Here is a 22,964-nt window from a genome sequence, read left to right as displayed (position 1 = left end):
CCGTTGGCGGCCCCAGATGCTCCCGGAAAGAAGCCGCAGTTATTTCAGAGCCAGCTGCAAACCTGTGGGTTTTTCTTGGTCTCCGAGTTAGGAATGAAAATTGCTAAAGCAGTGGTTTTCCAACTTCAGCCTGAGTGGGAATCACCTGGGGCCTTTGGTAAAATGCGGAGATTCAGTCCCGGGGTCAGAACCTCTGGGGGCGGGACCGGGAACTGCGTGTTTAACAGCCACCGCCCCCCTCCCACTCCGCCCCACGCAGGTGATTCTGATGCTGAGCCTGCGATCACTGGGCGAGAACCTCTGAGTTCCAGAAAGGGGTGGGTGTTGCGTAGATTGCGAATTGAGTTTCGGGGATCGCAGCTGCTCCACAACTTCCTGGTTCCCCCATTCCGGTGGCGAGGAGGGATCCCCGAGTCAACTCGAAATCCACTGGTAACAGAGCCTACCTCTGGTTTCCCCTTGGGGGAACAGCAGCGTGGTGTACCTGGCTGACTGCTCTACCATGTGAAACGGATTCTCATTGTCCCAGTGTTAGGGCTTGTAAATGGAAACCGGTTTGGGTTTCTTCACGGATTCCTGCTTTCGGTACCTGACATTCTGCCCTCCCTCAAAGCCCTTCTCTCTGTTCCAGCTTGGGAGTCTGCTTGTCCAATCCAGTGCATACCCGGTTTTTCATGCATGTGGCATTCAGGAGCAATGCTCGTGTTTTAAGACGGCTACATTTTAATTTTGAGCTGGTAGGAATAATATATTTTGTCTTTTTTCAAGGCAGCAGCTGCTGTAGATTTTGTTCACTTGTCACTGGAGAGTTGAAGGCAATAATTGTAAAGGTTGGGCCAGATGTCTTCATGTGCTCACAGTGGTATAGCCTGCTCCTGGGTTGCTTAGCATAAATTGGGTGGAAGACAAGAAAAAGATAATATGGTTTTCTTGTGCCATCTCTGGGGTGAATGTTACGTATTTTCCTGGCTGGGAATAAAGTCTTCCCGGTCGTCTGATTAGCAGGGTGTCTACCTTTTGGTACTTTGAGTTTGTCCAGATGAGTGGTTCTTAAAGCAGGGGGCAATTTATTTCCCCAGGGGACATTTGGCTATCTCTGGACATATTTTTGATTGTCACAATGGGGGCAGGGAGGTGCTGCCGGTACCTAGTGGGTAGAGGCCAGGGACGCCTCTAAACATCCTACGTTGCACAGGACAGCCCCCCACGCTGGAGAATTCTCTGGCCCAAAATGTCAGCAGTGTTGGGGCTGAGAAATCCTGGTCAAGATCATGTTTATAACACCAGCAGTTGAGTACAAAATGATGCAAAGTGGTGTTATCAATTTCCTAAGAAGGTGGGTGGGCTTCATGTGATTGTAATTGGAATCCTGAAGAACTGGGGTGATCTTTCCTCCAGGAATAATTAGCCTTTATAGGAAAATCTGCAGGGTGGGTCAGAATCCTGCTTTAAATATTACTTTTCTGGCATTTGATCAGTAGGTTACAGTGGTTGCTCCCTAAGTGTTAATTGATGATAAAAGATCTTAAACTCTCTCAATGAAGATCTCAAGAGGGACTGAAATTCCAGTGTGTTTAATATTGGAGCATTCACAAAAATTGTAGTGATCTTTTAAGAATTCAGAACATGTGGGCTGGAGGTTTCTGCCTTAGGTCAATATGAAAATTCTGAGTGTAAGTTTTTCAGAACTATGGGACTTACTTTTTTTTTTTTTTTGAGAGGGAGTCTCGGTCTCTTGCCCAGGCTGGAGTGCAGTGAGGCGATCTCGGATCACTGCAACCTCCGCCTCCCGGATTCAAGTGATTCTCCTGCCTCAGCCTCCCGAGCAGCTGTGACTATAGGCGTGTGACACCACACCCGACTAATTTTTGTATTCCCAGTAGAGATGGGGTTTCACCATGTTGGTCAGGATGGTCTCAAACGCCTGACCTTGTGATCCTTCAGCCTCAGCCTCCCACAGTGCTGGGATTACAGGCGTAAGCCACTGCATCTGGCCGGGACTTAGATTTATATTCCCTGAAGTAATACAGGGCCTTAGATGGAATGAACGATTTATATTGGTGCTAATTGGGCAGAAAAGAAAAAGCATTGCTGTAATATGAATGTTGATGACTTTATGTTCTGAAAAATAGTCTGGGTCAAAGTGAAACATTTAATTGTGTTCATTATTCCTGTTTCTTTGAGGAATAGACTATCCTGCGTTAAATTCTACATTGTTAATATAAACTCAAGAGCTATGTGAGCAGTTGTGAATGATCCCATTTAAACTGATTCTTGCGTAATTTATACTGATTACAGAAACCACAATGTTATTTGATGCTCACCCTCTAAAATTTAAAATAATATCTCTCACTTTAAAATGTATGTGAAAAAACAAAAACAAAATGTAGTATGCGATCATCATTTAGTAGAATCACTCAATGATTTGGATTTGGTCCAAATATAATTCTGTCCCTTGCTTTTTCTGTTATGTAAACGTGCAGACCTGTGATAACAGAGCCATTTTCTCGTCACGATTTGCTTTTCTTCCACAACAGTATCAGTTTTCTTGTATCTGAGATCAGTGATGTCCCAATAAATCAGATGGGTTAATTGAGGAGGCAAAGGAAATTCAAACTTAGGAGAGTAGGAGTAGGGGCTTTGCCCCTGTCCCCCACTGTATGTCCAAGGCATAAGGAACAAGGCCCTCTAGCAGAGTCTCACAGTGTGTACTTATGTTAATATTCAATAAAGAAAATGCCACAGGAAGTAATCACTATAATGATGAAGATTTTAAGTTATTAAACACACCTTCCAGTAAAAACCTGTTATATTATTATTATTTTTGAGACAGGATCTCTCTCTGTCACCCAGGCTGGAGAGCCGTGCTACAATCTCGGCTCACTGCAACGTCCGTCTCCAGGGCTCAAGTGAGCCTCGCGCCTCAGCCTCCTGAGTAGCTGGGACTACAGGCACTCACCCCCACACTGAGCTAATTAAAACAATTTTTTTTTTCTCGAGACAAGGTCTCACTATATTGCCCAGGCTGGTCCCAACCTCCTGGGCTCAAGCCATCCTCTTGCCTTAGCCTCCCAAAGTGCTGGGATTATAAGCGTGAGCCACCGTGCCAGGCCAAAACCTGCTACTCTAAACTTGTAGAATAGCCCAGACCTTTTTCTGTTGGTTAAAAGATCTCATTCTTCCTGGGTATTATGTTTAGGCAAGGTATACTGCAGTTTGTTTGCATTTACTTTAATTCTGTCCTTGAGCAAACTTTAAGCAGTTTCTCAGCGTCAGCACTACTGATATTTTGGGTCAGATAATTTGCTGTTATGGGGGCTGGCCTGTGCATGGCAGCATGCTTAGCGGTGTCCCTGACCTCTGCTCAGTAGATGCTAGTCGCACTCCCTACCCCCAGTTGTAACAATAGGAAATGTCTCAAGATGGGGGCAGTTGTCCCCCAAGGGGTAGAGGGAATTGCCTGTCGTTGAAAGTCCCTAATTTAGGGAATCTAGAGCTACAGTTCCGGTTTGGTCACCACTAGCCATATTTGGCAGTTTACATTGAGATTAAAATTAAACACAATTTAAAATTCGTTTCCTCAGTCATGCTAGCCACATTTCAAGTGCTCAGCAGCCACATGTGGCTGATGTCTGCTACACTGGGCAGCACAGATGTGGAACATTTCCATTGCAAAGAAGGTTCCACTGGACAGTGCTAAGAGCTGGCAATTCGTTTTTTTTTTTTTGAGATGGAGTCTCCCTCTGTCGCCCAGGCTAGAGTGCAGTGGCACAGTCTCGGCTCACTGCAACCTCTGCTTTCCGGGTTCAAGCGATTCTCCTGCCTCAGCCTTTCAAGTAGCTGGGATTACAGGCGCCCACCACCACACCTGGCTAATTTTTGTATTTTTAGTAGGGATGGGATTTCACCATATTGACCAGGCTGGTCTCAAGCTCCTGACCTCAAGTGATCCACCTGCCTCGGCCTCCCAAAGTGCTGGGGTTACAGGCGTGAGCTACTGTGCCCGGCCAATTACTTGTTATATCTAATTCTCATCTCTGAAAGAGGCAACTTTGACCCTGTTTCTGACCTAAATCAGCACAACTTAGCCCATTTTTGGTTCTTGAACTCATCCCGAGCTAAGTGTTTCTTTCCTGCTATTTGGGCCTGATTTTAGAAAATTCTTTGTCACCTTGCTGTTATGCTAGAGGTTTATAGCAGCATCAATGGAACATTCCTGATCATTACTTACTGATAAGGACTCCGAGAATTTCTATTCCTGCTCCTTCCTTAAAAAGCATGAGAAAAGAACCCCTGTTAGGCAAGGTTGAAAGAGTGAGAGGAGATGAGAGGCTGTAATTGTAGCTTTCATATAAAGCCAATTCCAATGTTATAATGTGAGGGTTTTGCATACAGATGCATGGTGGCTATGGCTGTAAATGATTATCTAATACTGGCTGTCAGGGAAAACTGATGGGACTCGGCCATAGTACAAAGTTCCTGATCCTAGATATTTATGGCTTTGTTCATTCTTGATTTATTCAAGATTGCAGGGGAAGTCAGTGGCAGAGCTATTGATGGTCCCATTTCCGTCTTTGCTCCACTATATCTAGGATTATATGAGTTATAGGTAGAAGTTGCTTGAGCTTGATTTCATCTGTTGTCACCTAAAGCAGAAACCTGTTTTGTTTTATAATTTTTTTTTGAGACGGACTCTTGCTCTGTCACCCAGGCTGGAGTGCAGTGCTGCGATCTCACCTCTGTGCGACCTCTGCCCCACTGCAACCTCTGCCCCCTGGGTTCAAGCAATTCTCCTGCCTCAGCTTCCCGAGTAGTTGGGATTATTTTTGTGCCACGCCCGGCTAATTTTTGTTTTTTTTATTTTTTATTTTTTTGAGGTGGAGTCTCGCCCTGTGGCCTAGGCTGCAGTGCAGTGGCACAGTCTCGGCTCACTGCAACCTCCACCTCCCAGGTTCATGCCATTCTTCTGCCTCAGCTGGGACTACAGGCGCCCACCACCACGCCCAGCTAATTTTTTGTATTTTTAGTAGAGATGTGGTTTCACCAAGTGTTAGCCAGGATGGTCTCGATCTCCTGACCTCCGCCTCAGCCTCCCAAAGTTCTGGGATTACAGGCGTGAGCCACCGCGCCCGGCCAATTTTTGTATTTTTAATAGAGACGGGGTTTCGCCATGTTGGCCAGGCTGGTCTCCAACTCCTGACCTCAAGTAATCTGCCCACCTTGGCCTCCCAAAGTGCTGGGATTACAGGTGTAAGCCACTGCACCCAGCCTTGATTTATAATTTTTATTAATCGAAGGTGAGCTGTGGTCAAAGCCCAGTGCTGAGTGCTGACAGAGACACAAGGTGAGTAAGATGTGGCCCCTGCAGGAGGTCGCGTTCTGGTAAGGGAGTATACTTTTTTTTGGACAAATCCTTGTATAGAAAGGGATAAAAAGCATAGGAATTAAGAAACAAATTGTGAGTGCAAGGAGCAAGAGACCAGGAAAGATTATGTGGAAGAGATTCTTTAGGCAGAATATTTAGCTCAGAATTATGCTTTTCTAGAGTTTAATTGTAAATGTAATGCAGACCTTTACGAGTGTGCCTCATATTATTGCTGGTAGATAAGAAACAGGAAAAGCATTTCATCTTTACCTTTCTGATTTGATCGCTCGCTAACAATCCCTGAACAAGGTAAATCCTGAATGGTGATAATCATTCAACCTTCATCTCTGCTAAAAGCATTTCTTTTCCTCCCAGGCAAAAACAAACAGTGCCTGCTGTCTAGCACTAGTTAAACTAGTTAAACACTGCCTATAAAGAAGCTTATCTTAAGGAAGAGTTATAACAGTATCTGCTTCTGTTTAGCAATTTTCTTTTTGTTCCGGAATAAAGGTGTGATTCCAGGTAAACAGCAAAGTTTTTAGAAATAGAGCTTCCCTATAGTATGCTATTTTTCCATCAGTTTCATTATCTGGAAGTGTTTACTCATGTTATAAGATCTGTGTGAACTGACACTGCAGTAGTGGTCTCTGGGAACACAGGTTTTTGGAACACGGAGTTGGATCTCTAGCATCTCCAACATATATCTGAGTCAAGTGATTAGAGGCTTTTTCCCTCCTTCACATACTGCTCTCTGACTGAGATGTGATCTGTGCAGTTAACTTTGCTGCCTCCTTTCCACTGTTGGGTATTTTTGTCCTTTTCTTTTGTTTCTTTTTTTTTTTTTTTTTTTGAGATGGAGTTTTGCTCTTGTTGCCCAGGCTGGAGTGCAGTGGTGCGATCTTGGTTCACTGTAACCTCTGCCTCTGGGTTCAAGCAATTCTCCTGTGTCAGCCTCCTGAGTAGCTGGGATTACAGGCGCCCACCACCACGCCCAGCTAATTTTTTGTATTTTTAGTAGAGACAGGGTTTCATCATGTTGGCCAGGCTGGTCTTGAACTCTGTACCTCAGGTGGGCCACTGCACCCGGCCTATTTTTGCCCTTTTCTTTCCGATTTTCTGCCTATCTTCTTGAGGAATTTGTAAGGTTAAATACTTATAGTTACACCTTATACAGTACTTGGCTAACCCTTTGCAACTAGGAAGGTTATGATGCTTAATCTTAATGAGCCAGTAATTACAGTATGTCTTCATATTCTCAGACACACTCAAGCGTAGAGACCATGATGGTTAAAAATAAGACTTTCAAATGACAATATCCAGTTCTTAGAAGATGAGAGGAGACGGCTGAGCATGGTGACTCATGCCTGTACTCCCAGCACTTTGGGAGGCCGAGGTGGGTGGATCACCTGAGGTCAGGAGTTCAAGACCAGCCTGGCCAACGTGGTGAAACCCCATCTCTACTAAAAATACAAAAATTAGCCAGGTGCGGTGGCTCACGCCTGTAGTCCCAGCTACTCAGGAGATTGTGCCACTGCAACAGAGTGAGACTCCATCTCAAAAAAAAAAAGAAGATGGGAGGAGACAAAAGTTCTGGTTCTTAATTAAATAACTATACTGTTGAATCAGGCAAAAATACTTACAAATGTAGAAACTGAGACTCCAATAAGATAAACCAGGTTTACAAGTCACTGTATCAGCTTGGAGGATTCCTGTCCTCTTCTTTCATCCTTGGCCCATAAGGAACATTATGTTCTTGCTGTGGCTTCTCAGTGGTATGTATTATAATAGACGTGTGTGGTGTTTGGGGAACTTGTTTAACTAGTGCTAGACAGCAGGCACTGTTTGTTTTCGCCTGGGAGGAAAAGAAATGCTTTTTGCAGAGATGAAGGTTGAATGATGATCACTATTCAGGATTTACCTTGTTCAGAAAGCTGTGGGAGGCAAGAGTAGTTAAGTTAGGAACAGCTGTCTGGAGCTTTACCTCTTGCTTTTTATCTCAGCCGAAAGTAGGTGGTGATTTTTTATATGTCTAATGCATATGGTATAAACTAGCATCTGATAACTCCAAGGTCTTCTAATATGAGCAGCTGGTTTCTCTTTAGTTAGCCCTAAGAGGCCTCCGAAATAAGTCCTAAAAGTCCCCCAAATAAGAACATTCCTCTCCTGAAAAAAAAACTTTGTTGAAACGAAAGTATTATATACTTCCAGCACTGATGAATGTTTCAATTAATATACTTTTAAAAATAAATTTTAGACTTTCTTTGTTATAGAGGCTGCTTCTCTTAAAAGCCTTCTCTTGGCCAGGTATGGTGGCTCATGCCTGTAATCTCATCACTTTGGGAGGCTGAGGCGGGCAGATCATGAGGTCAGGAGATCGGGGCCATCATGGCTAACATGGTGAAACCCCGTCTCTACTAAAAATACAAAAAACTAGCCGGGTGTCGTGGCATGTGCCTGTGGTCCCAGCTAATTGGGAGGCTGAGGCAGGAGAATCGCTTGAACCCGGGAGGCGGAGGTTGCAGTGAGCCGAGATCACGCCACTGTACTCCATCCTAGGCGACAGAGCAAGACTGCGTCTCAAAAAAAAAAAAGTCTTCTCTTTGAAGGCTTAGCTCTGTATCTCTTAAACAGCAGTTATTCATGTCAGTTATTCATGTACCATCTGTGAATTTGGCCACATCACTGTACCACCTATACTATTATTTGCTTAGTATTTTCTTTTAAATCTACTTTACATCAATTTACTTCCCCTTTATGAAAAATTGAGGGACAGTTTACGTACAACAAATATACCCATTTTAATTATATAGTTTGTGTTTTGGAAGTTGTATATAGTGATATTACCACCAGCATGATCAAGATACAAAGCATTGACCTGGTGCAGTGGCTCACACCTGTAATTTCAACACTTTGGGAGGCCAAGGAAGGAGGATCTCTTGAGCCCAGGAGTTTGAGGGCAGCCAGGGCAACACAGTGAGACCCCTATCTCTATAAAAAATAAAAACTTAGCCAGGCTTGTTGGCATGCACCTGTAGTCCCAGCTACTTGGGAGGCTGAGGTGAGAGGATCGCTTGAGCCCAGGAGGGTGAGGCTGCAGGGAGCCACGATAGTGCCGCTGCACTTGGCCTGGGTGACAGAGTGAGACCCTGTCTCAGAAAATAAGTCCCCTACCCACCCACCCCAAAAAAGGTACAGAGCATTTCTGTCTCCCTGAAAATGTCCCTATGTCCCTTTGCAGTGGATCCCTGCCCTGCTTTCTGTCACTCTAGCCCTCTTTACCCACCTATCCCATCCCTGCACCCCCGCCTTTTTTTTTTTTTTTTAACTTAGATTTGTGCTCAACTGTAATGTCTCTAAATTCTGGGATTTGAGGTGTGTGTTTGTGTGGGTTTTTTTTTTTCCCAAATCACATAAAAGTGAGAGAGAGAGAGAGAGAGAGAGAGAGTGTGTGTGTGTATGTATGTGCATATATACATATATATATATATATATATATATATATATTTTTTTTTTTTTTTTTTTTTTTCCTGAGACGGACTCTCACCCTGTCGCCCAGGCTGGAGTGCAATGGCGCCATCTCGGTTCACTGCAACCTCCGCCTCCCAGGTTCAAACGATTCTCCTGCCTCAGCCTCCTGAGTAGCTGGGGTTATAGGCACACCACCACGCCCAGGTGATTTTTTATATCTTTAGTAGAGATGGGATTTCACCATGTTGGACAGGCTGGTCTCAAACTCCTGTCATGATCCGCCCGCCTCTGCCTCCCAAAGTGCCGGAATTATAGGCATGAGCCACCGCTGCCGGCCAAATGTATAATTTTTTAAATTCACACTTTGGTGAACTGGTTTAACTGAGGAAAAGTGTTGATTAGTGTGTTTTCAAAAGATGAGATTTTTTTTTTTTCCCCTGAGACAGAGTCTTGCTCTGTCACCTAGGCTGGAGTGCAGTGGTGCATTCTTGGCTCACTGTAACCTCTACCTCCTGGGTTCAAGCGATTCTCCTGCCTCAGCTTCCTGAGTAGCTGGGATTACAGGTGCCCGCCATTGCACCCGATTAGTTTTTGTATTTTTAGTAGAGATGGGGTTTTACCATCTTGGCCAGGCTGGTCTCGAACTCCTGACCTCGTGATCTGCCCACCCCGGCCTCCCAAAGTGCTGGGATCACAGGTGTGAGCCACTGCTCCCAGCCTAAGATGAAAAAAATTTTAAAGTGACTAGTTCATTAATTCCCAAATCTTAGGCTCTAAAGACACCTTTTATTTCTATTGTAGTTACCGGTTTTGGAAGATATGATAAACAACTTTTTTTTTTTTTTTTTTTTTTTTTGAGACGGAGTCTTGGTCTGTCGCCCAGGCTGGAGTGCAGTGGCACAATCTCGGCTTACTGCAAGCTCCGCTTCCCGGGTTCATGCCATTCTCCTGCCTCAGCCTCCCTAGTAGCTGGGACTACAGGCGCCCGCCACCACACCTGGCTAATTTTTTGTATTTCTAGTAGAGATGGGGTTTCTACTGTGTTAGCCAGGATGGTCTCCATCCACCTGCCTCGGCCTCCCAAAGTGCTGGGATTACAGGTGTGAGCCACCGCACCCGGCCTTGCCAATTTATAATTTTCCATTAGCTTTTTTGAAAAATTGAGAGTTGCTCCTTGACCTCCTTTACCATCTTACTTTGCATTTGATTCTTGACTTTTCCTCCAACATTTAAATTGTCAGAACTTTTAAGCAATTTTAACATTACATATGTAATATTTCTTCTGGTAGTGAGGGAGTATTTTAATATCCCATACTGTCTGAAAGTGATAAAAATCACCTAGCATAAAAACGATTCTTGGCCAGGCACTGTGGCACACATTTCTAATCTCAGCACTTTGGGAGGCCAAGGCAGGAGAATTGCTCGTGAAGCCAGGAGTTTGAGATCAGCCTGGGTGACATAGTAGGACCATGTCTCTCCAAAAAATTTTTAAAAATTAGCTAAGTGTGGTGGCATGTGCCTGTAGCCATGTCTGCTCAGGGGGCTGAGGTTAGAGGATCACTTGAGCCCGGGAACTCAAGGCTGCAGCCAGCTATGATCACGCCACTGTGACAGCCTGGACGATAGAGCGAGGTCATGTCTCAAAAAAAAAAAAAAAGTTTGTAAAAAATGCTCATGAAGATATGAATAGTAGGGCTTGTTTTATAAAATGAGCTAACTATTAAAGTCTCAGTTCTGGCTGGGTGCAGAGGCTCACGCCTGTAATCCCAGCACTTTGGGATGCCAAGGCAGGCAGATTATCTGAGGGCGGGAGTTTGATCCGGCCAACATGGTAAGACCCCATCTCTACTAAAAATACAAAAAAATTACCTGGGTGTGATGGCGGGCGCCTGGAATCCCAGCTACTCAGGAGGCTGAGGCAGCAGAATCACTTGAACCCGGGAGGCGGAGGTTGCAGTGAGCTGAGATCAAGCCACTGCACTCCAGCCTGGGAGACAGAATGAGACTCCATCTCAAAAAAAGTCTCAGTTCTGTGACAGTGAGCATGCAATTGAATGGTTCTTCTTAGGAAAGGAGAATTAAATCATACCTATCATGCAACTGTGTTAGATAAAATTGTAGCAAAAATATTGAACCCACTTCATTTATACAACAGAATTAACTGTACTTGAAATATAATTTATGAATTTGTAGAGAGGTAAAACTGTGTCTAAATTCTCAGCAATTAGTATCTATCAGAAAATGTGCATGTAGGTATACCCACTCTGTAAATGCTTTGTTGCACCTTTTTTGGTTTTGGGATTTTTGTTTGAGACAGAGTCTTGCTCTGCTGCCCAGGCTAGAGTGCAGTGGCGCGTTCTTGGCTAACTGCAATCTCCACCTCCCAGGTTCAAGTGATTCTTGTGCCTCAGCCTCCTGAGTAGCTGGGACTACAGGCGCACACCGCCACGCCCAGCTAATATTTGTATTTTTAGTAGAGACGGGGTTTCACCATGTTGGCCAGGCTGGTCTCAAACTCTTGACATCGGGTGATCTGCCCTGCTTTGGCCTCCCAAAGTGCTGGTTTTACAGGTGTGAGCCACCATGCCTGGCCATGCTTTCACTCTTAAAAATGCTTGGGTTTAAGAGTTGGTGGAAAAAGGGAAAAAAAAAAAAATGCCCTGATCTGGATGATGAGTTTACGGCCATCTAGTTGAGACTGTTGTAAAGTAGAAATTTTCCCTGTAAAGAGTCAGTTTCTTCCCAGGTGAAAACATTAATCAAGCAAGGATAATCTTTAAAATTAAACCTTAGTTCTAAATATGATTTTTGAGTACAAGCTTTTTTAAAGTGTTGAGTTGCTTCATTTACTTACTTGATAAAATTGAGAAGCAGTATTGCCCAGTGGTTAAGAGCACTGGTCCTAGAATTTTACTTAGTTTTAAGTTCTGGCTCTAAAATGTACTATGATTTGGGGCTTGTGAGGAAGTAATGTGTGTAGAGGCGTTAATTATTAGCACAATGCCTGGAATATAGTAAGCAACCCAGTAAGTATTAGTAATTATAAGGATCATAAATCTGATTGAATACTTACTCTGTCTGACCCTGCACTCAGTGCGAAGGGATTCAGAAATTATTTGACATTCTTCCCAGGAACTTGACATAGAATACTGTTTTTCCTTTGTTTTTTTGTTTTTGTTTTTTGAGATGGAATTTTGCTGTCGCCTAGGCTGGAGTGCAGTGGCACCGTCTCTGCTCACTGCAGCCTCCGCCTCCCAGGTTCAAGCAGTTCTCCTGCCTCAGTCTCCCGAATAGCTGGGATTACAGGCACCCCCCACCACGCCTGGCTAATTTCTGTATTTTTAGTAGAGACGGGGTTTTGCTATGTTGGCCAGGCTGGTCTCAAGCACCTGGCCTCAGGTGATCCGCCAACCTTGGCCTCCCAAAGTGCTGGGATTACAGGTGTGAGCCACTGCGCCTGGCCTGTTTTTTTTTTCTGCCAACATTATCAAACAGTTTCCTATGTACTAACTAATAGACATCTTTATACATCTTTATACAATTTAATTCTTCATTTAGGTTTGTGTCTGGCTGTTGCCCTGGTGTTGTTTATTAATGTTGATCATACAGCTATTTTTTTTTTTTTTTTAATTGATCATTCTTGGGTGTTTCTCGCAGAAGGGGATTTGGCAGGGTCATAGGACAATAGTGGAGGGAAGGTCAGCAGATAAACAAGTGAACAAAGGTCTCTGGTTTTCCTAGGCAGAGGACCCTGCGGCCTTCCGCAGTGTTTGTGTCCCTGGGTACTTGCGATTAGGGAGTGGTGATGACTCTTAACGAGCACGCTGCCTTCAAGCATCTGTTTAACAAAGCACATCTTGCACCGCCCTTAATCCATTTAACCCTGAGTGGACACAGCACATGTTTCAGAGAGCACAGGGTTGGGGATAAGGTCACAGATCAACAGGATCCCAAGGCAGAAGAATTTTTCTTAGTACAGAACAAAATGAAAAGTCTCCCATGTCTACTTCTATCCACACAGACCCGGCAACCATCCGATTTCTCAATTTTTTCCCCACCCTTCCCGCCTTTCTATTCCACAAAACCGCCATTGTCATCATGGCCCATCCCCAATGAGCCGCTGGGCACACCTCCCAGACGGGGTCGTGGCCGGGCAGAGGGGCTCCTCACTTCCCAGTAGGGGCGGCCGGGCAGAAGCGCCCCTCACCTCCCGGATGGGGCGGCTGGCCGGGCGGGGGGCTGACCCCCCCACCACCCTCCCGGACGGGGCGGCTGGCCAGGCAGAGGGGCTCACTTCCCAGTAGGGGCGGCCGGGCAGAGGCGCCCCTCACCTCCTGGATAGGGCGGCTGGCCGGGCGGGGGGCTGACCCCCCCCACCTCCCTCCCGGACGGGGTGGCTGGCCGACCCCCCCCCCCGCCTCCCTCCCGGACGGGGCGGCTGGCCGGGCAGAGGGGCTCCTCACTTCCCAGTAGGGGCGGCCGGGCAGAGGCGCCCCTCACCTCCCGGACGGGGCGGCTGGCCAGGCGGGGGGCTGATCCCCCCACCTCCCTCCCGGACGGGGCGGCTGGCTGGGCGGGGGGCTGACCCCCCCACCTCCCTCCTGGACGGGGCGACTGGCCGGGCAGAGGGGCTCCTCACCTCCCAGTAGGGGCGGCCGGGCAGAGGCGCCCCTCACCTCCCGGACGGGGCGGCTGGCCAGGCGGGGGGCTGACCCCCCCACCTCCCTCCCGGACGGGGCGGCTGGCCGGGCAGAGGGGCTCCTCACCTCCCAGTAGGGGCGGCCGGGCAGAGGCGCCCCTCACCTCCCGGACGGGGCGGCTGGCCAGGCGGGGGGCTGATCCCCCCACCTCCCTCCCGGACAGGGCAGCTGGCCGGGCGGGGGGCTGACCCCCCACCTCCCTCCCGGACTGGGCGGCTGGCCGGGCGGGGGGCTGATCCCCCCACCTCCCTCCCGGACGGGGCGGCTGGCTGGGCAGAGGGGTCCTCACTTCCCAGTAGGGGCGGCCGGGCAGAGGCGCCCCTCACCTCCCGGACGGGGCGGCCGGCCGGGCGGGGGGCTGACCCCCCCACCTCCCTCCCGGACGGGGCGGCTGGCCGGGCAGAGGGGCTCCTCACTTCCCAGTAGGGGCGGCCGGGCAGAGGCGCCCCTCACCTCCCGGACGGGGCGGCTGGCCGGGCGGGGGGCTGATCCCCCCACCTCCCTCCCGGACGGGGCGGCTGGCCCGGCAGGGGGCTGACCCCCCCTCCCCCCTCCCGGACTGGGCGGCTGGCCGGGCGGGGGGCTGACCCCCCCACCTCCCTCCTGGACGGGGCGACTGGCCGGGCAGAGGGGCTCCTCACTTCCCAGTAGGGGCGGCCGGGTAGAGGAGCCCCTCACCTCCCGGACGGGGCGGCTGGCCGGGCGGGGGGCTGACCCCCCCCACCTCCCTCCCGGACGGGGTGGCTGCTGGGCGGAGACGCTCCTCACTTCCCAGACGGGGTGGCTGCTGGACGGAGGGGCTCCTCACTTCTCAGACGGGGCGGTTGCCAGGCAGAGGGTTTCCTCACTTCTCAGACGGGGCGGCCGGGCAGAGGCGCTCCTCACATCCCAGACAGGGCGGCGGGGCAGAGGTGCTCCCCACCTCTCAGACGATGGGCGGCCGGGCAGAGACGCTCCTCACTTCCTAGATGGGATGGCGGCGGGGAAGAGGCGCTCCTCGCTTCCTAGATGGGATGGCGGCCGGGCAGAGACGCTCCTCACTTTCCAGACTGGGCAGCCAGGCAGAGGGGCTCCTCACATCCCAGACGATGGGCGGCCAGGCAGAGATGCTCCTCACTTCCCAGACGGGGTGGCGGCCGGGCAGAGGCTGCAATCTCGGCTCTTTGGGAGGCCAAGGCAGGCGGCTGGGAGGTGGTTGTAGCGAGCCGAGATCACGCCACTGCACTCCAGCCTTGGCACCATTGAGCACTGAGTGAACGAGACTCCGTCTGCAATCCCGGCACCTCGAGAGGCCGAGGCTGGCGGATCACTCGCGGTTAGGAGCTGGAGACCAGCCCGGCCAACACAGCAAAACCCCGTCTCCACCAAAAAAAAACGAAAACCAGTCAGGCGTGGCGACGCGCGCCTGCAATCGCAGGCACTCGGCAGGCTGAGGCAGGAGAATCAGGCAGGGAGGTTGCAGTGAGCCAAGATCGCAGCAGTACAGTCCAGCTTCGGCTCGGCATCAGAGGGAGACCGTGGAAGGAGACCGTGGAGAGAGGGAGGGGGAGGGGGAGGGGGAGGGGGAGGGAGAGGGAGAGGGAGAGCCATACAGCTATTTTGGCATTGCCCACAGCTATTGAGGATAAGAAATGTGATGAAGAAAGTGGTAGCTGCCATCAGTAGAAGCTTATGAAGACGCTGTTTTTAGTTTTAAGGGATCAGTTAATCTACAACTTTTCATAGAGCATTCATTGGTTTAGATCTTAATATTATCCTGAAACTGGATAATACTTTATATTTTGAATTATCCAATTAATGCAACAAACACGTGAGGGTCTATGGCATTGGAGTCATTGTTCACATTTATTCACCCAAACTTAACTATCAGTGCTGCTTTTCCTACCCACCCACTCCCCCCTGGGCTTACTCCCTGAAGAGCAAGAACGATTTATTTATTTTTATTTAATTTTTTGAGACAGTCTTGCTCTGGCGCCAAGGCTGAAGTGCAGTGTCGCAATTTCAGCTCACTGCAGCCTCTACCTCCTGGGTTCAAGCGATTCTCCTGCCTCAGCCTTCCAAGTACCTAGGACTACAGGCATACGTGACCATGGCCAGCTAATTTTTGTATTTTTAGTAGACACGGGATTTTGCCATGTTGGCCAAGCTGGTCTCGAACTCCTGGGCCTCAGGTGATCCGTCCACCTCGGCCTCCCAACGTGCTGGGATTATAGGCGTGAGCCACTGCGCCCGGCCAGCAAGAACAATTTAAACATAAGCCAGTTTACATTTACGTAAACTGCATGTGCACTCCAGAGTCAGAGATTCACCTGGGGATTGTGAATCTGCATTTCCCTCCTGCCTTTCAGTTTAAGCAGCTTGTCATTACATGGGATTTTAGTGTTTATAAATGCATGTTCACACAATGCGGCTTCTAAACTATTTTGTGTGTATATATATGTATATAGATATGTATGTGTGTGTGTGTATTGTTGTCGAGACAGGTTCTCACTCTTTTGACCAGGCTGGAGTGCAGTGGTGTGATCATGGCTCACCACCAGAGCCTCAACCTCCCAGGCTCAAGTGATCATCCCACCTAAACCTCCCAAGTAGTTGGGACTACAGGCATGCACCACCACGCCTGGCTGATTTTTGTATTTTTTGCAGATATGGGGTTTTGTCATATTGCCTAAGCTGTATTTTGTCTATTTTTTTTTTGTTTTTTTTTTTGAGACAGGTTGTTGCTCTGTCACCCAGGCAGTGGTACAATCTTGTCTCACTGTAACCTTGACCTCCTGGGCTCAAGCAATCCTCTTGCCTCAGCCTCCTGAGTAGCTGAGACCACAGGCATGCACTACCATGCCCGGCTTAATTTTTTTGTATTTTTTGTAGAGATGAGGTTTTGCCATGTTGCCCAGGCTCATCTCAAACTCCCGGACTCAACTGATCCTCCTGGCTTGACCTCTCAAAGTGCTGGGATTACAGGCATGAGCCACCACACCTGGCATATTTTATCTATTCTTAACGGAAATATTCATTATAATTCTGTTGAAAGAAATAGCTGTGTTGCACTTAGAGAACAGTATGTTGATATCCACTCTGGCATGCCTTCCTAAGGGATTTTCAGGTTAATATGACAATTGGAGAATTGAGCTAACTTTAGACCCCTGGTCTAAAGAGAAGTCAAAATTAGTAGGAGTCTGAATCCTTGCCTTCAAGAAGCTTGTAATCTAATTGGAGAGCACATTTATACTGGAAAGCACATCTATAAAACAATTCACAGTAAAGGGTGTAAGGAATCATGAGGATAAATGGCAGCTGCAACAACTGCAAGCATTCTGTCCCATTGTCCCCATAAATACAACCAACATTGTTAAGCAACAAATCTAGATTTTTGGTTTAGGAAAAAAGGCATCAGTATTGTTAGAGGGGATGGGAAAGAGCAAAAGTGGCTTTATCTGTAAAGGCTTCCTGGAATTATTGACTTGTAATTGAATAGGTGCTAGGAGAGAGATAGATAAAAGTCATGAGGATGTTTCAGACAGGATGGTCGTTGGGAGCATGAAGGTGTGAATCAAGCCAAACTGTTTATCTTATCATTTGGCTAGGTGGTAGGGGACACATGGGAGTGTCACAGCAGTGAGGATCGTCAGGAGCATCACCAGCTGACTCAGGGGTGAAGATAAATTCTCTTGACCATCATATTCCTCATTCTCCTCACTGTCAGCACTGAGGCCTTTTTCGAGTGCTTTCTGAGCCTTCTCATAGTTAAAGTGGTGAATTTTATTGAAAACACTTGTTTTAAAATTTGTCTATTTTATCTAAAAATTTGGTCGTGGCTAAATGATTACCTTGTAAGCCCTTGTGGGAGCCAGTGTGATATAATAGAGGTCAGAAACAGGAGTCAGGGACCCCAGGTTTTGGCACCTCATTGTCATTTATTAGCTCCATGACCATAGGCAAGTCGCTTAACCTCTCTGCATCTTAGTTTCCTCACCTCCAAAATGTTAGACCAGAATCAGACGTTTTTATGCTATACTTTTTTTTTTTTTTTTGAGACAGGGTTTTACTCTGTTCCAGGCTGGAGTGCAGTGACACAATCATAGCTTACTGTAGCCTCAAACTCCCAGGCTCAAGTGATCCTCCTACCTCTGCCTCCCAAGTAGCTAGGACTACAGGTGTGCACCACCACACCCAGCTAATTTATTTCTCACTATGTTGCCCAAGCTGATCTGAAACTCCTGGCCTCAAGTGATTCTTCTGCCTTGGCCTCCCAAAGAATTTTTTTCTTCTTTTCAATGACACTTTTTTTTTTTTAATTTAAAAAAAAAATTTTTTTTAATTATACTTTTTAAGTTTTAGGGTACGTGTGCACAACGTGCAGGTTTGTTACATATGTATACATGTGCCATGTTGGTGTGCCACACCCATTAACTCTTCATTTAACGTTAGGTATATCTCCTAATGCTATCCCTCCTCCCTCCCCCCACCCCACAACAAGCAACAGTGTATGATGTTCCCCTTCCTGTGTCCATGTAGTCTCATTGTTCAATTCCCACCTATGAGTGAGAACATGTGGTGTTTGTTGTTTTGTCCTTGAGACAGTTTGCTGAAAATGATGGCTTCAAGCTTCATCCATGTCCCTACAAAGGACATGAACTCACCATTTTTTGTGGCTGCATAGTATTCCATGGTGTATATGTGCCACATTTTCTTAATCCAGTCTATCATTGATGGACATTTGGGTTGGTTCCAAGTCTTTGCTATTGTGAATAGTGCCACAATAAACATACGTGTGCATGTGTCTTTATAGCGGCATGATTTATAATCCTTTGGGTATATACCCAGTAATGGGATGGCTGCATCAAATGGTATTTCTAGTTCTAGATCCCTGAGGAATCGCCACACTGACTTCCACAATGGTTGAACTAGTTTAGCGTCCCAACAGTGTAAAAGTGTTCCTATTTCTCCACATCCTCTCCAGCACCTGTTGTTTCCTGACTTTTTAATGATTGCCATTCTAACTGGCGTGAGATGGTATCTCATTGTGGTTTTGATTTGCATTCTCTGATGGCCAGTGATGATGAGCATTTTTTCATGTGTCTTTTGGCTGCATAAATGTCTTCTTTTGAGAAGTGTCTGTTCATATCCTTCGCCCACTTTTTGATGGGGTTGTTTTTTTTCTTGTAAATTTGTTTGAGTTCATTGTAGATTCTGTCTATTAGCCCTTTGTCAGGTGAGTAGACTGCAAAAATTTTCTCCCATTCTGTAGGTTGCCTGTTCACTCTGATGGTGGTTTCTTTTGCTGTGCAGAAGCTCTTTAGTTTAATGAGATCCCATTTGTCAATTTTGGCTTTTGTTGCCATTGCTTTTGGTGTTTTAGACATGAAGTCCTTGCCCATGCCTGTGTCCTGAATAGTATTGCCTAGGTTTTCTTCTAGGGTTTTTATGGTTTTAGGTCTAACGTTTAAGTCTTTAATCCATCTTGAATTAATTTTTGTATAAGATGTAAGGAAGGGATCCAGTTTCAGCTTTCTACATATGGCTAGCCAGTTTTCCCAGCACCATTTATTAAATAGGGAATCCTTTCCCCATTTCTTGTTTTTGTCAGGTTTGTCAAAGATCAGATAGTTGTAGATATGCAGCATTATTTCTGAGGGCTCTATTCTGTTCCATTGGTCTATATCTCTGTATTGGTACCAGTACCATGCTGTTTTGGTTACTGTAGCCTTGTAGTATAGTTTGAAGCCAGGTAGCGTGATGCCTCCAGCTTTGTTTTTCTGGCTTAGGAGTGACTTGGCAATGTGGGCTCTTTTTTGGTTCCATATGAACTTTAAAGTAGTTTTTTCCAATTCTGTGAAGAAAGCCATTGGTAGCTTGATGGGGATGGCATTGAATCTATAAATTACCTTGGGCAGTGTGGCCGTTTTCACGATATTGATTCTTCCTACCCATGAGCATGGAAAGTTCTTCCATTTGTTTGTATCCTCTTTTATTTCATTGAGCAGTGGTTTGTAGTTTTCCTTGTAAGTTGGATTCCTAGGTATTTTATTCTCTTTGAAGCAATTGTGAATGGGAGTTCACTCATGATTTGGCTCTCTGTTTGTCTGTTATTGGTGTATAAGAATGCTTGTGATTTTTGTACATTGATTCTGTATCCTGAGACTTTGCTGAAGTTGCCTATCAGTTTAAGGAGATTTTGGGCTGAGACGATGGGGTTTTCTAGATATACAATCATGTCATCTGCAAACAGGGACAATTTGACTTCCTCTTTTCCTAATTGAATACCCTTTATTTCCTTCTCCTGCCTCATTGCCCTGGCCAGAACTTCCAACACTGTGTTGAATAGGAGTGGTGAGAGAGGGCATTCCTGTCTTGTGCCAGTTTTCAAAGGGAATGCTTCCAGTTTTTGCCCATTCAGTATGATATTGGCTGTGGGTTTGTCATAAATAGCTCTTATTATTTTGAGATACGGTCCATCAATACCCAATTTATTGAGAGTTTTTAGCATGAAGGGTTGTTGAATTTTGTCAAAGGGCTTTCTGCATCTATTGAGATAATCGTATGGTTTTTGTTGTTGGTTCTGTTTATATGCTGGATTACATTTATTGATTTGCGTATGTTGAACCAGCCTTGCATCCCAGGGATGAAGCCCACTTGATCATGGTGGATAAGCTTTTTCATGTGCTGCTGGATTCGGTTTGCCAGTGTTTTATTGAGGATTTTTGCATCGATGTTCATCACGGATATTGGTCTAAAATTCTCTTTTTTTGTTGTGTCTCTGCCGGGCTTTGGTATCAGAATAATGCTGGCCTCATAAAATGAGTTAGGGAGGATTCCCTCTTTTTCTATTGATTGGAATAGTTTCAGAAGGAATGGTACCAGCTCCTCCTTTTACCTCTGGTAGAATTCGGCTGTGAATCCATCTGGTCCCGGATTTTTTTTGGTTGGTAAGCTCTTAATTATTGCCACAATTTCAGAGCCTGTTATTGGTCTATTCAGAGATTCAACTTCTTTCTGGTTTAGTCTTGGGAGGGTGTATGTGTCGAGGAATTTATCCATTTCTTCTAGATTTTCTAGTTTATTTGCATAGAGGTGTTTATAGTATTCTGTGACGGTAGTTTGTATTTCTGTGGGATCGGTGGTGATATCCCCTTTATCATTCAGTGAAACTTTTTACAAATAAAAACTTTACTCAAAACCCTGTTATACAAAACAGAGCTGATCTGCTAGGGAGTTAGAAGCCCCAACTGCTTACCTAACCCTTCCTTCTCAGAGTCCTCCCAGGGACCTTAAGGCTCAGGAGAACACAGCTGGAAAATCCCTGGACTAGATCCCTTAGGTCCCTTCTAGAATGTAACAATTTCTGAATCTTATGTTGATAAATGGAGTGGAATTTCTTAAAAACAATTTTGAGGAGGCAATGCAGTTTTAAATATGTACGTATTGTATGCCATGCTGTAAGATATTGCTAGATACAGTGAGCAATAGGAAAAGGTAAACACAGCTCTTCCTTTAAGCAGCACACTTAGAAGAGTAAGAGGGGAACAAAAGAGCTATAACTTATATATGATATTATATGTATTATATGTAATATATATAATTTATTGTTATAACACAACTCATACTACATAGAGATTGAAGTCAACAAGAATTTTCTCCCTAAAAATAACTACAGAGATTAAGAATAGAGAAAGGAAAATGAATGTGTATGTTTTAATTCTGCAAAAAGTTCGGGCACAGTGGCTCAGCCTGTAATCCCAGCAGAAGGATAACTTGAGCTCAGGAGTTTGAGACCAGCCTATGCGGCATAATGAGACCCTTGTATCTACAAAAAAATTGTGAAAATTAGCAAGGCATGGTGGCGAGCACTTGTATTCCCAGGTACTCAGGAGGCTGAGGTGGGAGGATCACTTGATCCCTGGAGGTCAAGGCTGCAGTGAGCCACGATCAAACCACTGTACCCCAGTCTGTGTAACAGAGCGACTGTCTCAAAAATAATATTTGTCAAAATAGCATGTCTTTGTATCACTGCCACATTGCTTGTCTGAAGCGAAGCTGACTCACTTTGTTATCATAAGTGATCTTACCAAAGACCAAGTTGTCCAGTTGCCTTGGAGTGTAGGTCATGCGTTGCCGGTACCCTGGGGCTGTGTACAATGGCCAGGCTGAGGGGACCTTGTGGTTACCCCCATGGGACTTGTAACTTGTCAAGTGGGAAGGTGGTACCAAGTGAAGAAGGGTAGGGTCCTTGGTTTTGGCCTCACGTGGTTCTTCCCAGAATGAATGGTGAAAAAATTATAATTCTGCAGAAAAATTTAAATTCTATTTTGTTTACTTTTTGGATGGGAGATAGGTGTACACATGGCACTAAAATTCAAAAGGAACTTAAGGAGGCCAGGCACGGTGGCTCACACCTGCAATCCCAGCACTTTGGGAAGCTAAGGTGGCCAGATCACTTGAGGTCAAGAGTTCGAGACTAGCATGGCCAACATGGTGAAACCCCCCGTCTCTACTAAAAATATAAAAATTAGCTGGGCATGGTGGTGTGTGCCTGTAATCCCAGCTACTTGGGAGGCTGAGGCAAGAGAATCACTTGAACCCAGGAGGCAGAGGTTGCAGTGAACAAGGTCATGCCATTGCACTCTAGTCTGGGCAACAGAGTAAGACTCCATCTCAAAAAATAAAAATAAAAACAGCAGCTTCCTCTAGGAAGTGGGGCTGGAAGACTTTTACTTTTTCTGTTATACTTTTGTACTATTGCAGGTTTTAAAATCATGTACTTCACAGTAAATCCAGAAGAAATTATGCACTTAATTTTTCTGGGTGAATTGTGTTGTAGAGGTAATAGAGGATTATTAAAATTTCTTTCTTTTTTTTTTTTTTCCCCAGATAGCAGACCCCACGTTAGCTGAAATGGGAAAAAACTTGAAGGAGGCAGTGAAGATGCTGGAGGACAGTCAGAGGTGAGTAGGACAGAGGTGACCCTGTTCAACGAGTTCAGCCTGCTGTGAAGCCAGTGGCTCTGGGTTCTTTCTGTTAAAGGTGCCTCTTGGCTTCACAGTGTCACACACAGCTTCGGCTGACTTGAAAATTGGTGTTTGTCTTGGGTAAAAGGTGCCTTGTAATTAAAGGATTTTGAAATTGAGAGGAAAGACTTATACTATTTAATTCTGTCTATTAAGAGTTTCATTTACTTAATATATTGATTTGACTCTATAAATACTTATTATATATTCAGGTCATATAGAGCACCAAGTAAACAAGAAGTGGGTGGAACTTTTTTGTTGCATATTCTTGTCTTTTCCAGAAATTCAAACGATACCTGAAACTGGAGGCAGGGAGATGTGATAAATGTGTTTGAAATCCTGCCTCAGTCACTGGGAGGTTATAGGCAACATGGTCATGTTTGCATGTTCAGGCGTTAGAAATTTGGTATGATGAAACAAATG

The 22,964-nt window shown here is 46.0% G+C and overlaps 2 pseudogenes across 1 annotated transcript in view, besides 2 other annotated features; both read left to right on the top strand.

The window, feature by feature from the left end:
• PDXDC2P-NPIPB14P (PDXDC2P-NPIPB14P readthrough, transcribed pseudogene) overlaps window positions 1–22,964 on the top strand; it is an 89,652-nt pseudogene that overhangs the window by 541 nt on the left and 66,147 nt on the right. The window contains exon 2 of the transcript NR_003610.1: window positions 22,405–22,478. The product of NR_003610.1 is annotated as a PDXDC2P-NPIPB14P readthrough, transcribed pseudogene (transcript). The remainder of the gene's footprint in view (window positions 1–22,404; window positions 22,479–22,964) is intronic.
• PDXDC2P (pyridoxal dependent decarboxylase domain containing 2, pseudogene) overlaps window positions 1–22,964 on the top strand; it is a 54,947-nt pseudogene that overhangs the window by 541 nt on the left and 31,442 nt on the right.
• Window positions 314–533: an enhancer, noted in NCBI's record as "active region_11048". NCBI's record gives its function as "activates an Ori minimal core promoter by ATAC-STARR-seq in GM12878 lymphoblastoid cells {active_cell/tissue: GM12878}" and the evidence as "EXISTENCE:reporter gene assay evidence [ECO:0000049][PMID:35858748]".
• Window positions 12,555–13,508: an enhancer, noted in NCBI's record as "NANOG-H3K27ac-H3K4me1 hESC enhancer chr16:70085803-70086756 (GRCh37/hg19 assembly coordinates)". NCBI's record gives its function as "activates a minimal SCP1, AML or CMV promoter by ChIP-STARR-seq in naive H9 embryonic stem cells {active_cell/tissue: H9 hESC(naive)}" and the evidence as "EXISTENCE:reporter gene assay evidence [ECO:0000049][PMID:30033119]".

This window comes from Homo sapiens, chromosome 16 (genome assembly GCF_000001405.40).
Source record: "Homo sapiens chromosome 16, GRCh38.p14 Primary Assembly".
In the NCBI taxonomy this organism is placed as follows: domain Eukaryota; kingdom Metazoa; phylum Chordata; class Mammalia; order Primates; family Hominidae; genus Homo; species Homo sapiens.
Note: the sequence above shows the minus strand (reverse complement) of the source record. Positions and strands in the feature narration are given on the sequence as shown.